The 20,007-nt window shown below is 42.1% G+C and overlaps 1 pseudogene across 4 annotated transcripts in view; it reads left to right on the top strand.

The window, feature by feature from the left end:
• The window catches only part of MAFIP (MAFF interacting protein), a 61,485-nt pseudogene that overhangs the window by 3,279 nt on the left and 38,199 nt on the right, over positions 1 to 20,007 (top strand). The gene's annotated exons all lie outside the window — the stretch shown is intronic.

Genomic DNA, 20,007 nt, shown 5'->3' with positions numbered 1-20,007 from the left:
CAGGAGTCCTTTATTAGCTGGTGACTGAGAGACGGCTAACACAGGAAATACTCTCGGCCCTAAAGAATGGGCTAGATTTTCTTTTATACATTGGTTTAGAGAGGGGAGGGGGGATTCCAGCTGCAATAAACTTACAGAAGAAAAAACAGACAAAAAACTTAAAAAGACAGATGGTTACAGGAAAACAAATTGTTCCAGGTGCAGAGGCTTTAAATTCACCACAAAGTGATGAGTGAGGGGGCTCTGGGCATTATCTTCCAGACAAATGTGGGGGCTTTATGATATTATCTCTGAGTAATTTGCTGGAAACTGCGGACTTCACTTGCCTCAGCACTTTATCAGTTAATTGCACTCTTTGATATGTTGAAAATCAGCTTGCACAAGTTAAAGTCCTTGAGGAAAGGGGGTGGGTAAGGAGCCCTTGATGTCTTGTAAATGAAGGAGCCAAATGGAGTTTGTCTGGTTTTCTCAGCTAAGGGAGAGTCTATTCATATTAAAAACAAGGTTAGCTATCTAAGGAAGAGTCTATTCATGTTAATACAACGTTGGGTATTACAAAACATCTGTTCATGATCTGGAAATTCTTCCGTGTTAGTTCTGTTAAAAGAAAAACTTTAAAGGAGTTTAATTGAGCAATAAACGATTCATGAATCGGAAAGTCCCCAGAATCACAGCAGATTCACAGAGACTCCAGCACAGTCATGTGGTGGAAGAAGATTTATAGACAAAAGGGAAGTGGCATACCGAAATCGGAAGTGAGGTACAGAAACAACTCAGCGTTTGCCTTGTTTGAGCACAGTTTGAACATTTGGCAGTGCCTGAGTGGTTGAAGTTTGGCCATTGGGATTGGCCAAGATGTAGCTGTTGTTTGAGGTGCATACACTCAAGTTAGGTTTTCATTCTTGTTTACCTATTAAGGTAGGTTGCAGGTCATCCACAAGGACTCATATATATAATTATGGAGTCCTTCTCAGGACATACTTAGTTCACTTTAACAATGCCTTCCCTTTGGTTATTTTCTCAATTTTGAGAGATTGGCCAAAACTTCAGTCACTGGTGTCACTATTACCCTTGCAAATGTATTTATTTGGTTTAGAAACCCACTGGGAAATAGAACAGTGAGATTTGAAAAGGTGGAACAAGGACTTGAGTAGAAGGTGTCTTCTTATGCTGGAACATCCTGTTTACAGGAGAAAAACAAAACCTGGTTTGTTCTAGGATTTATGTGTTTCCTTAAAGTCTTAGTTTGATTATGTTCCATTTAGCATGAGTGACTCCATTTTGGTTTGGTTTGTTCTTTTGGGACCTATTGCATGAGCTTAGTTCAAAACAATGGCCTCCCATAATTTTGCTTAAAAAATTCCTCCTTTTGGCTGGGCACGGTGGCTCATGCCTGTAATCCCAGCACTTTGGGAGGCCGAGGTGGGCAGATCACGAGATCAGGAGATTGAGACCATCCTTGCTAATACGGTGAAACCTCATCTCTACTAAATACACAAAAAAATAGCCAAGCATGCTGGCGGGTGCCTGTAGTCCCAGCTACTCAGGAGGCTGAGGCAGGAGAATGGCCTGAACCCAGGAGGCAGAGCTTGCAGTGAGCCGAGATCATGCCACTGCACTCCACTCTGGGGGACAGAGCAAGACTCTGTCTCAGAAAAAAAAAATCCTCCTTTTCAGTCAAGTTCTCACTTAGTTGAGAGTGTGACCAAAATGTAGGGCCTTAGCCTCACTCTTAGTTACCATTGTTTTGGGTTTCCGGTTTAGCACATCACTCCCATTGTTTTGGGTAATGGTTTTAGCACGTCACTCCCATTGTTTTGGGTTCTGGTTTTAGCATGTTACTCCCATTGTTTTGGGTTTCTGGTTTAGCACGTCACTTCCATTGTTTTGGGTTCTGGTTTTAGTACATCACTCCCATTGTTTTGGGTTCCGGTTTTAGTACATCAGTCCCATTGTTTTGGGTTTCTGGTTTAGCATGTCACTCCCATTGTTTTGGGTTTCTGGTTTAGCATGTCACTCATAGGTTACGGTGTCCTTATGGTTGCACATTTTTTTTAATCTGTTGTCATTCCAGTTGAAGAGATACCATTTGACATTTTACAGATGGCTGTATGCAAACTCTTAAAACATTTGAGTAAGTACAGTGCACCAGGGAGACTCTTATGACTATTGGGATAACACCAAGAATTTGGTATATGCTCCTTACTCAGGGTCCCCATAAATCAAACCACCTAAAATCAAATAGATTAAAGAATGAATTAGATAAAGAGTTTACTTGCTTAACTAAGTGGGTTTTTTTGTTAATTCCCTACAACCAAATCTTTATAATACCCGATGTTTTCTCCATATGCCATGTTAGCAGCTGCACAGATACTTAAGATAAGAGTCTCATGATAGTAGAGAAGTCTTGATCTGTGATCTTAGGAAAAGCTGTTCACATTAAGGATGCCATCTTCTTCTGGGGGGAACTGTCCTTGTTAGCTTTACCTTAAGGGTTCCAAGGGGTGTATGGTTCCGAGTGTGGAGGGACCCTTCTGAGTTGTAAGACTATGAACCCAAAGTTTAAGGTTTTAAAGTTTTGCTGTCATGTGAATGGCAAGGGCAGTCCTCTGATGTTCTCAGAAGATCCAGTCATCAGATTCTAGATTGTGAAGGGGTTGGCTGTCCTCTGTGAACCATAAAAGGCTTTCTTTAGCTGGTGAAAATACACTTCAGCATAATAATCTACTGTTTTAACATCAACCCTCTTGCATGGAAGAGCTTTTTTACAATCAGAAAACATGCACTGAAAATGACAACTGAATGAAATCCCTTTATAAAATGTTTAAATGGCCCATCAGGTAACCAAATGTACCTGAAGTTTTGATTGTTTTCCTAGGAATATAGGTTCAACAAACCAAACATTGATTATAAACTATTTTAGCAATTTAGAGATCACCACAGCAATATATTTAATTTGGATCATTTTCTCTTTCCATGATGAGTTATGGAATGCAGAACTTTTAATAACAAAAGTTTTAAGGACTTAAGACGGAAAGGTGGCCATCCTGGTTCTTCATAAGTCCGTGCTTAATTAACGTTAGACTTACATCCTCTTGAATACCAGCTGTTTCTTCAAATTAGGTGCATGGCACTGGTAACTGATGAGTTATAGGTAATTTGGCTTAGACCATGGAGTTTATTTAAATTATATATCTAAACAATTTCAATATTGGTGATTTAGCATGCGAATCTGGCAAAATATTTCCTTGATATTCAATTTTTGTTTTACTTGGGTTAGCAGTTTTATAAACCAGTTGGTCTTCTTATTAAACTTTAGGATTTTTTTTTTTTTTTGAGACAGAGTCTCACTCTGTTACCTAGGTTGGAGTGCAGTGGCACAATCTTGGCTCACTGCAACCCCCGCCTCCTGGGTTCAAGTGATTCTCCTGCCTCAGCCTCCCGAGTAGCTGGGATTACAGATGCATACCACCACACCCGGCTAATTTTTGTAGTTTTAGTAGAGGCGGGGTTTCACCATTGGCCAGGCTGGTCTCAAACTCCTGACCTCAAGTGATCCACCGGCCTCAGCCTCCCAAAGTGCTGGGATTGCCAACATGAGCCACTGCACCCAGCCTAACTTTTGAGAATTCTTAACCAGTCCAATTATTGGGGGATCGGGGAACTTATGGGGAATTTTTACCCATGATATTAAAGTTATTAGAAACCTGTGTTCCCGAGTGTTTTTCATGGTCCTTTTCATTCTTTCATGAATCTTCTATTCTAGAATTTTGCATGCTTGTGAAGTTTTTAGAAACTGCATCACCATTAAGCAATTAACTGTGGAAATGACTTTAAATAGTTATAGTTAAAGACAATTGATAAGGAAATTTGGTTATTTCTGTGGTCTACAATAACTTAATAACCATAATTAGGGTGGATGTGGTGGCTCATTCCTGTAATCCCAGCTCTTTGAGAGGCCAAGTTAGGTGGATCACCTGAGGTCAGGAGTTTGAGACCAGCCTGGCCAACATGGTAAAACCCTGTCTCTACTAAAAATAAAAAAAAATTAGCCGGATGTGGTGGCAGTTGTCTGTAATCCCAGCTACTTGGGAGGCTGAGGCAGGATAAATGCTTGAACCCAGGAGGTGGAGGCTTCAGTGAGCCTAGATCACACCATTGCACTCCAGCCTAGGTGACAAGAGCGAAACTCTGTCTCAAAACAAACAAAACAGGTAATTATGATAGATAGCATATAGGCATATTAGAATTTTAGAATCCTGGCCAGTTGCAGTGGCTCACGCCTGTAATCCCAGCACTTTGGGAGGCCGAGGTGGAAGGATCACGAGGTCAAGAGATGAGAACATCCTGGCTAACACGGTGAAACCCCGTCTCTACTAAAAATACAAAAATTAGCTTGGCATGGTGGTGGATGCCTGTAGTCCCAGCTACTCGGGAGGCTGAAGCAGGAGAATGACATGAACCCAGGAGGCGGAGGTTGCAGTGAGCCGAGATTGTGCCACTGTACTCCAGCCTTGGTGACAGAGCAAGACTCCGTTTCGGGGGAAAAAAAAAAAAGAATTTTAGAAATCCTATACAATTTTAGAACGGGTTGATGAAATAAACTAAATATAACCTGAAGAAGGTTCAACATTATGTTTTATTTTGACAGTGCTACCCATGTGACTTAACATGTTAAATAGTCCTGTTTACCTCTCTTTTGGGTGCTTCAAGGGCCTCTGTAGTATCCCAAAGTTAGAGGTCAGAAAAGACAATTTTGAAGTTGAAATTTGATTTTGGGAAGCCTATTAAATATATTAAAAGTTTAAACACTTGATGTTATGAAATAGAATTCCAGGTCACCGTAAGTCATTCATTTACTTAAAATCATGACTTAAAAAAGTTTTAAAGGGCAAAAATCTTTACTGATTGATAGAGGGAAGACTTATCTTCACAAACGATCTGCCTCTTGTTTTTCCTTTTTTTTTTTTTTTGGTAGTTTATTTAAAAGGCAAACAAATTTTTCATTATTTTTTAATATTACCTGAACATCTTCTTTAAAGAGAGAAAGCCAAATGTCACCTACTTTTTCATAAAACCTTATAGACAAACCTATTATTCTTTCTTTTTTTTTTTTTTTTGAGATGGATTTTCCCTCTTGTTGCCCAGGCTGGAGTGCAATGGTGTGATTTCGGTTCACTGCAACCCTCTGCCTCCCGGGTTCAAGCGATTCTCCTGCCCCAGCCTCCTGAGTAGCTGGGATTAGAGGCATGTGCCACCATGCCCAGCTAATTTTGTGTTTTTAGTAGAGACGGGGTTTTTCCTTGTTGGTCAGGCTGGCCCTGAACTCCTGACCTCAGGTGATCCACCTGCCTCAGCCTCCCCAAGTGTTGGGATTACAGGCACGAGCCACTGCACCTGGCCATTTTTTTTTTTTAAAGATTGCATCTTGCTCTGTCACCCTCCTCACCACATTATAGCTCTGGGGGCCAAGCTGCATCACAATGGAAAATCATGGAATCACAGGAATAATCCACTCAGCTTTGCAAGATGCTGCCCAAGGGGTTGCTTGGAGTAACCAAATTAACATTTTTCATTCTGCCCAGAGCAAAATACATGTGACAAAACATAGACACGTGCCACTTTGCTCAGCACCGAGTATCAAACTGGTAAGACTCAAACTTGCTCCCAGATGGGTCGTGCCATCTCTAAATCTTTTTAGAAGCTTCTGCATATTAATAGGCATCCCTAGATGAGACTAATTTGGGAGCCCTCATTTTTAAATGCACTTCAGGGCATTATTCATTTGGAATGTTCCACTGTAAGTTATCTTAATAAGATTTTGCCATTTCTGTAAGACTTTGCTGCTTCCCAGGCCTAATGTATTAGCCAGAAGGAGCTTAGTTTTCCAGAAATTAAGGATCCTATTTTTACCTAAAATATTGGCTTTACTCCCAGGTTCCCTTCATTAACTTAGCCAATGATTTTTTTTCCTGCCTAAGCATGCGAGAAAAATGAAACAAAGGGGTAGAACACAAAAATCCCTGTGAATTTTCAAAAGCCAAATGTTACAACCTTCCAATATTATCATTTACTACCACTTTCCTTCTGACCCAGTCAGATGTAGGAGGCCTCTAACTGGAACTGGATTCAAGCCAGTTAACTACTGGATCAAATCTGATCCTGGACCCAGTCCCTTTTCTGTCATAACTTCTAAAACATCCAGCCAGTCATGGCTGGATAGCAGTTTGGAACAGAAATTTGCTCAAAGAAACTCAGAGCTCAAAACACAAATCCATGGAGCTCTGAAATCCGAGAGAAAATTTACCATGATCCCCAGCTGCTCCAAGAGATCAAAGGACACAAGTGTTACAGAATCCTGAGGTGTCACTTTTCTGACTGAAACCTCTGGCTGGTGGAGCCTTTACCTGTGTTTTGCTTGGGCCCACTGGGTTAGTTCTGTCCACTCAGCTCATGCTAGTGGTCTGGATCCCACACCTGCCAAGGGCGAGCTGGGTACAGAGCAGTGAGGGGTGTGTGAGCAAGCGAGCATGGGATCTGGCCACTGCACACAGCCAAGCATGCCAGCTGCAGTGGGGTGGGCAGCTCCAGGCACAGATGCCAGCTCCCTGTGAGGCTGCAGCTGGACCAGGCCGACTGCAAACAGCTTCCACTGTGGGTATCAGGGAATGCAGTGGCACCCAGAAGCTTGGAGATGCAGGACCTGCAGAGCCCCAAAGAAGGTGTCACAGCCCTGGCTGGGGGAGCTCCTAGGTCTGTGTTCCCTGAAGGGACACAGCTCTTCTCTCCTTCTCTCTTCTCTTCTTCTTGCCTGCAATTTGGCAAGCAAGGAGCACGTTTCAGCCCTGTTTATGTTACACCTCTTTCAGCCCTGCTAGTTGGCAGGTCCCGAGTTCTTGTCCTGAGTCCAGGAAAAATGAGGTATGTGGACAAGTAGAAGGTGAACAAGGTGAAGAGGTGCTTTATTGAGCCCCAGTACAGCTCAGAGGAGACCTGCAGTGGGTAGCTCCTTTCTTCAGGCAGGTCATCCCAACGTCTGTTCAGCTCTCAGCAGCTGAGAGGAGACGCATGGTGGGTAGCTGTGCCCATAGTGCCCAGGCGTTTGAGATGAGGAGGGCCTTCCGGCCACTGCTGAGCCACTCTTAGCCCCACCTCAGCCTCCCTCCTGTGCTTGCCAGTGCCCAAAGTCTGGAGGGGGCCGAGGTGGCAGTGGGCTGGCATGTCAGCACTGCCCTGAGCTTGCACAAACTGGGCCGGGTTGTGACTGTGCCCGGGTTTGGCCTCAACTTGGATCCGAATTTGGAGTGGGCTCTGGAAGCAGAGAGACGCCAGGTGGCAGGACCAGGTACAACTGAGCCTGCGGGGCAGGGGGGCTTGCTGGGCCTCTGAGAGTGCAGAGATGCCCGGGTTTGCAGTCATGGCTGGATGGCTGCAGCTGTGCCTGGGAGGGCGGGGCTCCTGCCTGATAATTTAGAAGGGGCAGGTCTCCCACCCATTCCTGGCTCCCACCAGCTTTGAGGAGTGCACAGCCCCAGCCACTCCTCCCCACTGCAGCCAGTGTCTCCATAGCAACTGCTCCACGTGGGCCACTGCTGCCATCACAAACGGGTCCTTTCAGGTTCCTTCCTTGTACCTCAGCACTCTGGGGGTCATTAGAAGCCTTAGCAACACTGCTCACCACAGTATAGCTCCAGAGGCCCTAGCAGTCCTGCTCCCACAGATCCCACTTCTGACACCATCTATTAAAAGAAAATCTTCAGCTGAATTAAATTTAAAGGAACTTAATTGAGCAATGAATGATTCACGAATCAGGCAGCCCCCAGAATCACAGCAGATTCAGTGAGACTCCAGCACAGACACATGGTGGAAGATTTATAGACAATAAAGGGAACATGTTGTACAAAAATCTGAAGTGAGGAGTGAGGTCTAGAAGCAACTGGGTCCATTACAGTTCTCAGCAGTGAGGTCCAGAAACAACTGGACTGGTTACAGTGCTCAGCATTTGCCTTATTTGAACACAACTGAACACTCAGCAGTGTGTGAGTGGCAGAAGTTTGGCTGTTGGGATTGGCCAGGACTCAGCTACTGTTTTAGGCACATACTCCTAAGTTAGGTTTTCAGTCTTTCTACCTATTAAGTTAGGTTGCACTTTGTCCACAGGGACTCAAATCTAGAAGTACAGAGTCCTTCCCAGGCCATATTTAGTTCACTGTAACAGTTCCTATTATGACCTCACTGACAGTTCTTTGTCTCTGAATTCTCCTTTCTTCTCAACAGCTTATCCAAATGTTCCACTGGTCCCTGTTCATCTTGCCCTGCAGTTCTCCTTGACTGATTCAGCCCTTTGTGGTTTGCAGTCCTGTTTCTCTACAGCTTGGACCTCTTCAGTCTTTCCATCATAGGTTTAACTCTCTGTTGAATGCTTCTTTGTAGCTATCCAAATTTACCTTAAGCTCAAAAAATTTGAAGTGAAAGCCACATCCTCTTCTCTTCCCTTATGTGTATGGCATTACTACCATGCAGCCAGTGACCCAAAATGGGATTTCTTCTGGGCTTTTCTTGCTTACATTCAGGCTCATGTGGTGTCAAGCCTTGTTACTTTTGTTTCCTTGTTCTTTTATTTTTATTTTTTTTCTTTTGAGACAGAGTTTCGCTCTTGTTGCCCAGGCTAGAGCGCAGTGGTGTGATCTCAGCTCACTGCAGCCTCCACCTCCTGGGTTCAAGCAATTCTCCTGCCTCAGCTCCTGAGTAGCTGGTATTACAGGCATGTGCCACCACGCCCGGCTAATTTTGTATTTTTAGTAGAGATGGGGTTTCTCTGTTTTGATCAGGGTGGTCTCGAACTCCCGACCTCAGGTGATCCGCCCGCCTCGGCCTCCCAAAGTGCTGGGATTACAGACGTGAGCCACCGTGCCTGGCCTGCTTGTTGTTTTCATCTCATCCTGATTTCCGAATACAGGAGAGAAGCTGAGTTGGTGTTCACTAACAAGCACAGAAGCTTTGTTATATTTACAGTGTCATTCTTGGCAAAACCTGAAGGGTGTGTTTGTGGGGTGATGAGGTTCAGTCACCTGTGATCTCTGCATCTGGCCAGCACAGTGGTGACATCCTTAGGAATCCATGGGGAGAGAGAAAGCATTCAGGAGTTAGTGGGTCACATTTGACAAGGGCCAATAAAGAAATATGCAAAGACAAAAAACAAGAAGAACATTGTCATATTTTCTACCTTTTTTTATATAAATTTATGTCAATGATTTTAGCTTATGTTAATATGCAATGTATATAATATGCTAACATTTACAATATATGTTTATAGTTTAAACATTTCTGTCATATTTTCAGATTCTTTAAAGATTATATTATGCTTCCTATTTCAGATAGCTGCTTAAAATGAGTAAGGAAAAACGGATGTGTGCATCAGTTCCAACTGTTTATGGACTAAAACTAGTTGATTTCTTGGCTAAGAACAAAAAGTGACAACCTAATAAACTGAAAATTTTAAGTGGGCAATTATAGTTTTAGCTTTAACGTAAAATATTAACTATGCTCCATTCTTGCATTTTTAACCTAATACTCAATATAAATCGCCACATGCCATGTTTCAGATCAAGGTTTTACTTGGGATCTCTCATGAGTTTTTCAAGGTTTTAATTATCTGCAATGTAACAATGTACCAGTAACCTTACTGGCTTAAACCAGGAATTTATTCTTTTTACATGTCACAATTTTCTGGGTCAAGACACTGGACAGGGCAATGTGGGTTGGCTGCTTCATGATGTCCCTGGTCTCATCTGGGAGGACTCTAGTGGCTGGGGACGTGAAGCAGGCACCCAGAAGGACTCTAGTGGCTGGGGACATGGAGCAGGCACCGAGCCCTCTCTTTGTGGCCAGCACGGACTTCCTCCCAGTCTGGCAGTGTCAGGTAGTCAGGTTTGTCTGGCTTCTCCCAGGGTGTGTGTCCAAGAGGCCCAGGCAGAAGCTGTAAGGTCTCTCATGATCATCCCTCAGAAGTCCCAGAGCATCTCTCCTGCCACACTGTCCAGTCATACTCATCACTGAGACCAGACATGATTCAAGGGGGGAAGGTGATTAGATTCCACCTCTTGATGAGAAGCATAGTAGGAACCTGCAGCAGTCTTTAATAAACCACAGTTTGTCCTCTGGCCACAAACTATTAACGTTTCTCTCACATGCAAATTATTCTTTGCCCCTCTCAAGAGTCCCAGAATGGTTTTCCTTATGGCACTGGCTGGTAGCCCAACTGAATCCTGATTCAGGTTGTGGTGGCCTGTCACCTGCGCCCACACACACTCAGCCGCAGTGAGGACTGAATCAAATTGTGGTGGCATGTCATCTGCCCCCCCACACACAGCCACAGTGAGGACTGAATCAGGTTGTGGTGGCCTGTCATCTGCCCCTGACGCACTCAGCCACAGTAAGGACTGAATCAGGTTGCTGTGACCTATCATCTGTGCCCACACACTCAGCCGCAGTGAGGGGACTGGTGTGAAAACAGTCGGCATTTCCCTTTAGAAGCTGTTGGTGGGAGGCAGGAGGGAGGTGCTGCCCTGCAGGCCCCGTCTAACAGTTGGTCATTCCCATGGGGCGCCTGTTACAGTTCTGTGATTAGTGCCCAGTCCGGGTCCCTGAGAACGGCGCCCAGTCCTTGTCCCTGAGAACGGCGTTTGTGTCCTTTTACTCCTCCCTCTGGGCTTTTGTCATTCTCCATTTTCTTTTTCCTTCAGTGCCTGGGTTGCCGTTGACCAACTTTCTCTGCCTTTTTCTTATGGTCAATAGGGTATTCAATGGCTTCTTTTTAATTTTTTTTCCTTTTCTTTTTTTTTTCTTTGGCCTTTTGAGACAAGAAATTATTTCTTTATATTTTCTCTAAATTTTGTTTGAAAACTGAACTTCCTTCTTTAGATCATGTCCCTCTCCTGTCATATTTATTCAATGACAGTTAGGGTAGGCTGGTAGCACTTTCCATGTTCTTCCCAGATGTCTCCTTAGGCAGATCCCTGAGATGGTGCAGTGCCCTTTCAGTTTCCATGTTGTGGCCATAGTTTTCTCACAGTCCCTCAGCACATAACTCTCAGGCCTTTTCCCCAGTTTCCAATGACATTTTCTCACCGTCCTTCAGGCCCTGACCAAGAGTCTTGATGCCCTTCCAGGTTGAATGAATGGTCTCCTTGAGGCCCAGTTACAGGTCAGCCTCACAGTCGTGGCACATATTGTAGCTTCTGATTACCACAGCGGCTCATTTCCAGCTACCATATTCTGTTCCAGTTATCTATTCTGAAGAAACCATCCCCAAAACTTGGCAGCTTAAAACAACTCATTATTACTTGTTTTTTGGCTTAGAGAGTCTTGGTGGCCAGCTCATCTCACACACAGTTGCAGCCAAGCTGGGTTGTGTGAAAGCACAGTGGGGTGGTGTGCAGGGTGGCTCACTAGTGGTTGGGAGTGGATGTTGCTGAAGGCTCACTAGTGGTTGGGAGTCGGTGTTGCTGGAGGGTCAGTGGGGGATGTCAATGCATGTAGCTAGTCATGGACTGGCCATGTGGTTTCCATCATGGGGTCTCAGGGGAGTGGGATTTCCTGCCTGGTGACTGGCTTTCTCCTGGATAAGTGTTCTGTTTTCTCAGCCTGGCTTCTGAAGTCCCCAAATACCACCTTTGTCACCTTCTGTTGGCCAAGCAAGTTAGTAGTCTGGGCAAGGTTTAAGGGGAATTGGTTCTCACAGAGAGAGGAGCAGGAAAGAAGTTGTCACCTTTAGTCTACCAGAAATATGATTTTTATAACAAGTTTGTTCCAAATACATTCCAGTTCCCCTTGTGAATACTTTTTTGACTCCCAGGGTATTTCAAAGTTTATTACTTGGTTTTCAGACATTTGAGGCTTTTCTGGATATCAATTTGTTGTTGGTTTCTAATTTAATTTCAGGTGTTCAGACAACATACTTTGTATACTATGTCATGCTTGAACATTTTCTCAATTGATCGACATACAGTCTATCTTGGTACTGCCAAGTACCATTTGGGTCAGGATTTTGTCATTTAGATCCGTATTTTTCCTATATTTTTATCTGGTTGTTCCATCAGTTACTGAGAGAGCAGTATTAATTCACCAGCTATAATTTTGGATTGTCAATTTCCTGCTTTTGTTCTGTTGTTTTTGATTCACATAATTTGAGGCTCTGTGTGTGTGAGTACTTTGTGTGCACTTTGAGGCACAATTTATAATTGTAACATCATCCTCTCTGATTCTTTTATTTTTATGAAATTACCTTGTTTATTTCTGGTGATATATTTTGTTCTGGAGCCTCTTTCATCTAGTGTTAACATCTCCGTTGAAGCTTTTTATGATTAGTGTCTGGATAGCATATTTTTATGATTAGTGTCTGCAAAGCATATTTTTTCTCATATTTTGTGTCTCTGTATTTAAATTGTGTCTCTGTGGATGCCATATTGTTGGGTCTTGCTTTCCTCTCAGGTCTGGCAGTCTCTGTCTTAAGTAGAGTATTTGTCCAGTTACATTGTAACTAATCATTGCTAAGGTTGGATTTAGGTCTGCCATTTTTCTACTTATTTTCTATTTTTTTTTTTTTTTTTTAAGACAGGGTCTTGCTCTGTCACCGAGACTGTAGTGCAATGGTGCAATGTTGGCTCACTGCAACCTCTGCCTCCCAGGCCCAACCAATCCTCACTGAGTAGCTGGGACTACAGGCGCATGGAAACACACCTGGCTAATTTTTATATTTTTTGTAGAGATAGGGTTTTGCCATGTTGCACAGGCTGGTCTTGAACTCCTGAGCTCAAGCAATCTACCCACCTTGGCCTCCCAAAGTGTTTGGATTACAGGCATGAGCCACCATGTCTGGCCTTCATCTGTGTTTTGATCTTCTATATATTCTTTCCTAACTTCTTTTGGGTTAAATATTTCTAAATATTCCAGTTTGATTAATATTTTGGCTTTTTGAAATAATTTTTTATAGGCTGGGCATGGTGGCTTATGCTCGTAATCTCAGCTCTGTGGGAGTCCAAGGGAGGTGGATTGCTTGAGCCCAGGAGATTGAGACCAGCCTGGGCATCATGGCAAAACCCTCTCTACAAAAAAACTAAACCAAAATTTAGCCTGACATCTTGGTGTGCACCTGTAGTCCCAACTATTCGGGAGGCTGAGGTGGGAGGGTTGCTTGAGCCTGGGAGGTTGAGGCTGCAATGAGCTGTGATCATGCCATTGCACTCCTGCCAGGGCAACAGAGTAAGACCCTGTGTCAAAAAAGATCATTTTTTATAAATAATTTATTATTTAGAATTTTGGTAACAAACACATACCTTAAAATTTACCATCGTAACCAGTTGTAAGTATACAGTTTTGTAGAGTTAAGAATATTTACAGTGTTGTGTAGCAGATTTCTAGATTTTTTTTTATCTTGGAAAACTCTATACCCATTCAACAACTATTAATTTCCCCCTCCTTCCACCTCCTGGCAAGTACTATTCTACTTTGTGTTTCTAAAAATTTGGCTTATATCCCTAGGGTTATATAATATTTGTTGTTTTGTAAGTAGGTTCCATGTTATGTGTCAGATGTGTCACAATTTTCTTCCTTTCTATGGCTGAATAATATTTCTTCATATATATATTATATATATATTACATATATAATATATATATAATATATATCATGTATATATATGCTTTTGTTTATCCACCTATTTCTGGATGGACGTTTTGGTTTCTTCCACCTTGTGGCTGTGTAATGCTGCTGTGAACTTAGGTGTGCACATATCTGTTTGAGGTCCTGCTACTAGTTATTCTGTCTCTGTAGTAGTTGGATGGCTGGATCATATGGTCATTTTATTTTATTTTTTTTTTGAGGAGCCAGTTCATATTTCCACCAACAGTGTTCAAGGGTTTCAGTTTCACCTGCGCTTGTTACTTTCTGTTGGGTTTGAAGTGATGTCCCATTGTGGTTTCTTTTTGCATTTCTCTAATGACTAGTGATGTTACACATCTTCTCATATATCTCATGTATCTCTTGGCTATTTGTATATCATCTTTGCATCTTTGGATAAATGTTGTTTGTCCATTTTTTAATCACTTTATTTTGTTGTTGGGTTGTAGTGGGGTTTTTGTCATGATCATTCATTTATCTCACAGTTCATTCTCATTACTTGGGCCAGGGTCATGATGATTCATTATCTCTCAGTTCATCCTCATTACGTTGGGCAAACAGTCATGCTGCAGGGTATAGATTATGTTATTCTGTTACTTTCAGGTAGAATTGGGGTCTAGGTTATAATTGTTTCTAAGTTTAGATTCTGAATGAGAATCAGCAGAGGTAGACCACCACTGCTGGGGCCTGGGGATTGCTGGGAAAAAGGCAGGAAACAAATACAGACCTGACCATGGAGGGTTTGTGTTTCATGGCTCCCATCTGGGTACCCAAGGAACCTACATGTAGCTCGTGTGTGGAGAGCCTACATTGCCCACTCAAAGCAATTGAGGATGGAACAGTCTTGGTGCTGGAGCTCATTATTTGGAATGATAACCACATCTGCACAGAGAAGACCTGATAAGATGTTGTCCTTCCATGTATATCTGGGAATCCTGTGTAGGGTCTCTCTGTAAGGACAGGAGCAGTGTTGGCTCCTTGGCCTCTAGTTAGCCTCACGAGTAGTCTAGTAAAGGCTTTGCCAACTTGTCACCATCTGTGGATATTCTGGCCAGCTCTTGTTTTCACCCTACTGACTTCTTCAGACACTAGGCTTTTGCTTCAGACCATTCATGGTTTTTCTTCCTCTTCAAATCAGTAATCAATAAATCCTCTTCAAATCAATGAATTTCCACTCCTTTAGGAAACTCTGATCTTCTGGTCATGCCAAGGTTTAATTAACTGGTTTAATTGTTTTTCTGTTTTCTTGGTTTCTTTTTCCTTCTTCCTGGGGGTTTCTAGTAATTTTAGTTTGATGTCTCACTTTCTCCATTTTTTAGTTCTTAGTTTTCTTCTGTGATTATTTTCACTGCAGCTGCAGGGCCTAATCCTGGGTTGGCAGATAACTAGCACTTACTCTGCCCTAATTGGAATCCGGGAGAGATAGGAGGTGCCCTAGTTTGAAAATGTGTTTGCTCCTCTCTGCTTCTGGTAGTCTCTCTGTAGGAGTACTTTACGTATTCTGAATGTTCACTTCTTATGAGATACATGATGTGCAACTATAGGTTGAATGTCTGTGATCCAAAAATCTGAAATCCCAAATGCTCCAAAGTCTGAAACTTTTTGAGTGCCAACATGACACTCAAAGGAAATGCTTATTGGAGCATCGCAGACTCAGGTGTTTGAATTCGAGATGCTCAACCAGTAAGAATAGTGCAAATATTACAAAATCTGAAACACATCCCAAGCATTTCAAATAAGGGACACTCAACTGGTATTTTCTTTTATTCTACAGTTTGCCTTTTACCCTGTTGGTTGTGACCTTTGTGGTACAGAAGTTTTTAGGTTTGATATATTTTTGCTTTTACTGCCTGAGCTTTTAATGTCATATCTTAAAAATTGTTGACAAATTCATCATCATAAAGCATTTTCCAAATTTGTTTTCCCTAGGAGTTTGATAGTTCTAGTTTTACAATTAGGTTTATAATTCACTTTGAATTAATTTTAACGTGGTGTAAGGTAAGAGTCCAACTTCATTATTTTGCATGTAGATATACAATTTTCCCAACACCATTTGTTGAAGAAACTGTCCTTCGCCATTGAGTGGTCTTGGCATCCTTGTGGAAGATCATCAGACCATATATGCCAGGGTTGGTTTCTGAGGTCTCTGTTGTGTTGGTCCATAAGTGTGTCAAGTATGTCTTTACGCCATGACCACTTTTTTTTTGGCTTATTGCAGTTTTGTAATTGTTTTGAGACCTTTAATTTTGTTCTGCTTCAAGATTGATTTGCCTATTCATGGGCCCTGGAGATTCCATATGAATTTTAGGATAGGTTTTTCTGTTTATCAAAAATGTCATTGGAATCTTTATAAGGATTGTATTGAATCTAGGTCACCTCAAGTAGTGTTGACATCATTCCAAGATGAAATCATCTAATCTGCAAACACAGCTTTTCTTTTCATTTATTTGTGTTTAATTTCTTTCAACAGTGTTTTGTAGTTTTCTGTGTTCAAATCTTTTTTGCCCTTTTGGTTAAGCTTATTTTTAATTTTTATAATGCTGTTGTAAATGTAATACTTTTTTTTTTTTGAGATGGAGTCTTGCTCTGTCTCCCAGGCTGGAGTGCAGTGGCACTATCTCAGCTTACTGCAACCTGCACCTTCTTTATTCAAGCGATTCTCCAACCTCAGCCTCTCAAGTACCTGGGATCACAGGTGCGCGCCAACACGTCCAGCTAATTTTTTGGTATTTTTAGTTGAGACAGGGTTTCTCCATGTTGACCAGGCAAGTCTTGAACTTGTGACCTCAGGTGATCTGCCCGCCTCGGCCTCCCAAGCTGCTGGGATTGCAGGCATGAACCACTGCACCCGGCCAAATGTCATTCTTTTTAAAAATTTATTTTCTTTTGTTTTATCTTTCTTTTCTTTTCTTTCTCTGTCTTTCTTTCCTTTTTTCTTTTCTTTGAGATGGCGTCTCAGTTTCCTAAGCTGGAGCGCAGTGGCACAATCTCAGCTGACTGCAACCTCCACCTTCCAAGTTCAAGCAATTCTCCTGCCTCAGCCTCCCAAGTAGCTGGGACTACAGGTGTCTGCCACTACGCCCAGCTAATTTTTGTATTTTTAATAGAGACAGAGCTTTACTATTTATTTTAGAGATGGGTTTGGCCCAGCTGGTCACGAACTCCTGACCTCAGGTGGTCTACCCGCCTTGGCCTCCCAAAGTGCTGGGATTATAAGTGTGAGCCACTGCACCTGGCCTCTCTTTTTAAAATTTTATTTGCAGATTGTTCATTGTTAGTTTATGGAAATGCAACTGACTTGTGTGTGTTACTGTATCCTGAAACTTTGTTGAATTTCATTATTTTACCAATATTTTGGGAATTTCAGGATTTTTACCCATTACATCCTGTTGTCTGTGAACAAAATTTTGTACTTTTTCCTTTCCAATTTGCATCCTTTTTATTACTTTCTCTTGACTAATTATTCTGAGTAGAAATTCCAGTACTGTGATGAATAGAAGTGGAAGGAAGAGATGTTGCTATCTTATTCCTGATCCTAGAGGAAAAGATTTTAGTCTTTCACCATTGAGTATGATGTTAGCTGTGAGCTTTTCATGTATAATCTTTATTTACTGAGGAGTTTCCATATATTACTAATTCTTTGAGTGTTTTTATTACAAAAGGTGTTCATCTGGCTCTGGAACCAGATAAATGTTGACCTGATAGAATGGATTGGAATGTCCCCTTCTGGTTTTTGAACATTTTTGGAATATTTTGCAGAGGATTGGCATTAATTCTTCTTGAAATGTTCGGTAAAATTTTCCAGTGAAGTTATCTGGACCTGGACTTTTCTTTTTGGTGGGGTTTTTGATTACTGGTTGAATCTTCTTACTAGTTAAAGGTCTCTTTGGATTTTTTATTTCTCCGTGATGCAGTATGGTGGTTTGTGTTTCTAGGAATTTATAAATTTATTCTAGGTTGCCCAGTTTTGTGGCATATGGTTGCTCACATTAGTCTCTTGTAATCTTTTTCATTTCTGTGGCATCTGTTGTACTGTCACCTATTTTATTTATGATTTTAGTATTTGAGATTTCTCTTTTTTTCTTAATATAGCTGTGAGTTTTAAAATTTTTATTGATCTTTAAAAAAAACAAACTCATTGTTTTTTTCCTTTTTTTTCTGGTCTTATTCTGCTTATCTCTGCTCTAATCTGTTATTTTCTTCCTTTTGCTTGGTTTGTCATTAGTTTTTTTTCCCCCCTTCAGGTGTAATGTTAGGTTATTGATTTGAGATCTTTCTTCTTTTTAATTTAAGCACCTGCAGCTATAAGCTTCCCTTTAGCAAGGGTTTGAGATATTTCTTCTTTTTAATTTAAGCATCTGCAGCTGTAAGCTTCCCTTTAGCATGGGTTTGAGATCTTTCTTCTTTTTAATTTAAGGATCTGCAGCTGTAAGCTTCCCTTTAGCATGGGTTTGAGACCTTTCTTCTTTTTAATTTAAGCATCTGCAGCTGTAAGCTTCCCTTTAGCACTGCCTTTGTTGCCTCCTCCTGAGTTTGGGTATGTCATGGTTTCATTTTCATTTGCTTAAACATTTTTTGTCCTATTGTAATATAATTTTGTTGTTTTTAATAAAGGTAATTAATGAAACACATAATGAATTGTGCTTCTATTTTTATAATATTTTAAGCATTCTTAACTCAGAAATGTAAATTTTAGAAAAAAATTCCAGGCCAGGCACAGTGGCTCACACCTGTAATCCCAGCACTTGAGGAGGCCGAGACGGGAGGATCATCTGAGGTCAGGAGTTGGAGACCAGCCTGGCCAACATGGTGAAACCCTGTCTTTACTAAAAATAGAAAAAAAATATATAAGTTAGCTGGGTGTCATGGCGGGTGCCTGTAATCCCAGCTACTCTGGAGGCTGAGGCTGGAGAATCACTTGAATCTGGGAGGCGGAGGTTGCAGTGAGCTGAGATTGCACCACTGCACTCCAGCCTGGGTGACAGAATGAGAGTCCCTCTCAAAAAAAAAGAAAAAAGAAAAAATTTCAGACATATTTATTTGTATTTCAATTTAGAAACTATGATCTCCTAAGTGTATTGACACAGCAACCTGACATAAAGATAAAGAATAATAAGCATATAACAAAATGGAAACTTGCAAATACCTGTTTTTTATTAATTTTTAATTATATATATTTAAAAATTGCCAGGTGCAGTGGCTTACACCTGTAATCCCAGCACTTTGGGAGGCTGAGGTGGGCAGATCACATGAGGTCAGGAGTTTGAGACCAGCCTGGCCAACATGGTGAAACCTCATCTCTATTAAAAATCAAAAAATTAGCCAGGCGTGATAGCATGCATCTGTAGTCCCAGCTACTCGGGAGACTGAGGCAGGAGAATTGCTTGAACATGGGAAGCAGAGGTTGCAGTGAGCCAAGATAGTGCCACTGCACTCCAGCCTGGGTGACAGAGTGAGGCTCTGTCTCAAAAAAATAAAAATTGTCTGGGCGCGGTGTCTCACACCTGTAATCGCAGCACTTTGGGAAGCTGAGGCAGGCAGATCACGTCAGGAGATCGAGACCATCCGGGCTAACACTGTGAAACGCCATCTCTACTAAAAATACAAAAAATTAGCCGGGCGTGGTGGCAGGTGCCTGTAGTTCCAGCTACTCTGGAGGTTGAGGCAGGAGAATGGTGTGAACCTGGGAGGTGGAGCTTGCAGTGAGCCAAGATTGCACCACTGGACTCCAGCCTGGGTGACAGAGTGAGACTCTGTCTCAAAAAAAAAAAATAAAATAAAACTAAGGTGTGGTTGACATACAAAAATTACACATATTTAATATATACCGTGTGTGTGTGTGTGTGTGTGTGTGTGTGTGTGTGTGTGTGTGTGTGTGTGTGTGTTATGGAGGTTTTACTCATGTTGCCCAGGCTGGAGTGCAGTGACACGATCTCAGCTAACTGCCACCTCCGCCTCCCAGGTTCAAGCAATTCTCCTGCCTCAGCCTCCTGAGTAGCTGGGATCACAGGCGTGCACCCCCACGCCCGGCTAATTTTTGTATTTTTTTAGTAGAGACAGGGTTTCACCATGTTGGCCAGGCTGGTCTCGAACGCCTGACCTCAGATGATCCACCTGCCTCGGCCTCCCAAAGTGCTGGGATTACAGGCGTGTGACACCGAATATATACATCTTAATGAGTATAGAGATAAATATTCGCCCCAGGACTCATCACAACAAATAATACCGTAAACTTGACCATCACCCCCCATATATTTCTCATTCTCACCCTTTTTAAAAAATGAGACCAGGAGTGGTGGCTCACGCCTGTAATCCCAGCACTTTGGG

The sequence above is a fragment of the Homo sapiens genome (assembly GCF_000001405.40).
Source record: "Homo sapiens chromosome 14 unlocalized genomic scaffold, GRCh38.p14 Primary Assembly HSCHR14_CTG4_UNLOCALIZED".
In the NCBI taxonomy this organism is placed as follows: Eukaryota; Metazoa; Chordata; class Mammalia; order Primates; family Hominidae; genus Homo; species Homo sapiens.
Note: the sequence above shows the minus strand (reverse complement) of the source record. Positions and strands in the feature narration are given on the sequence as shown.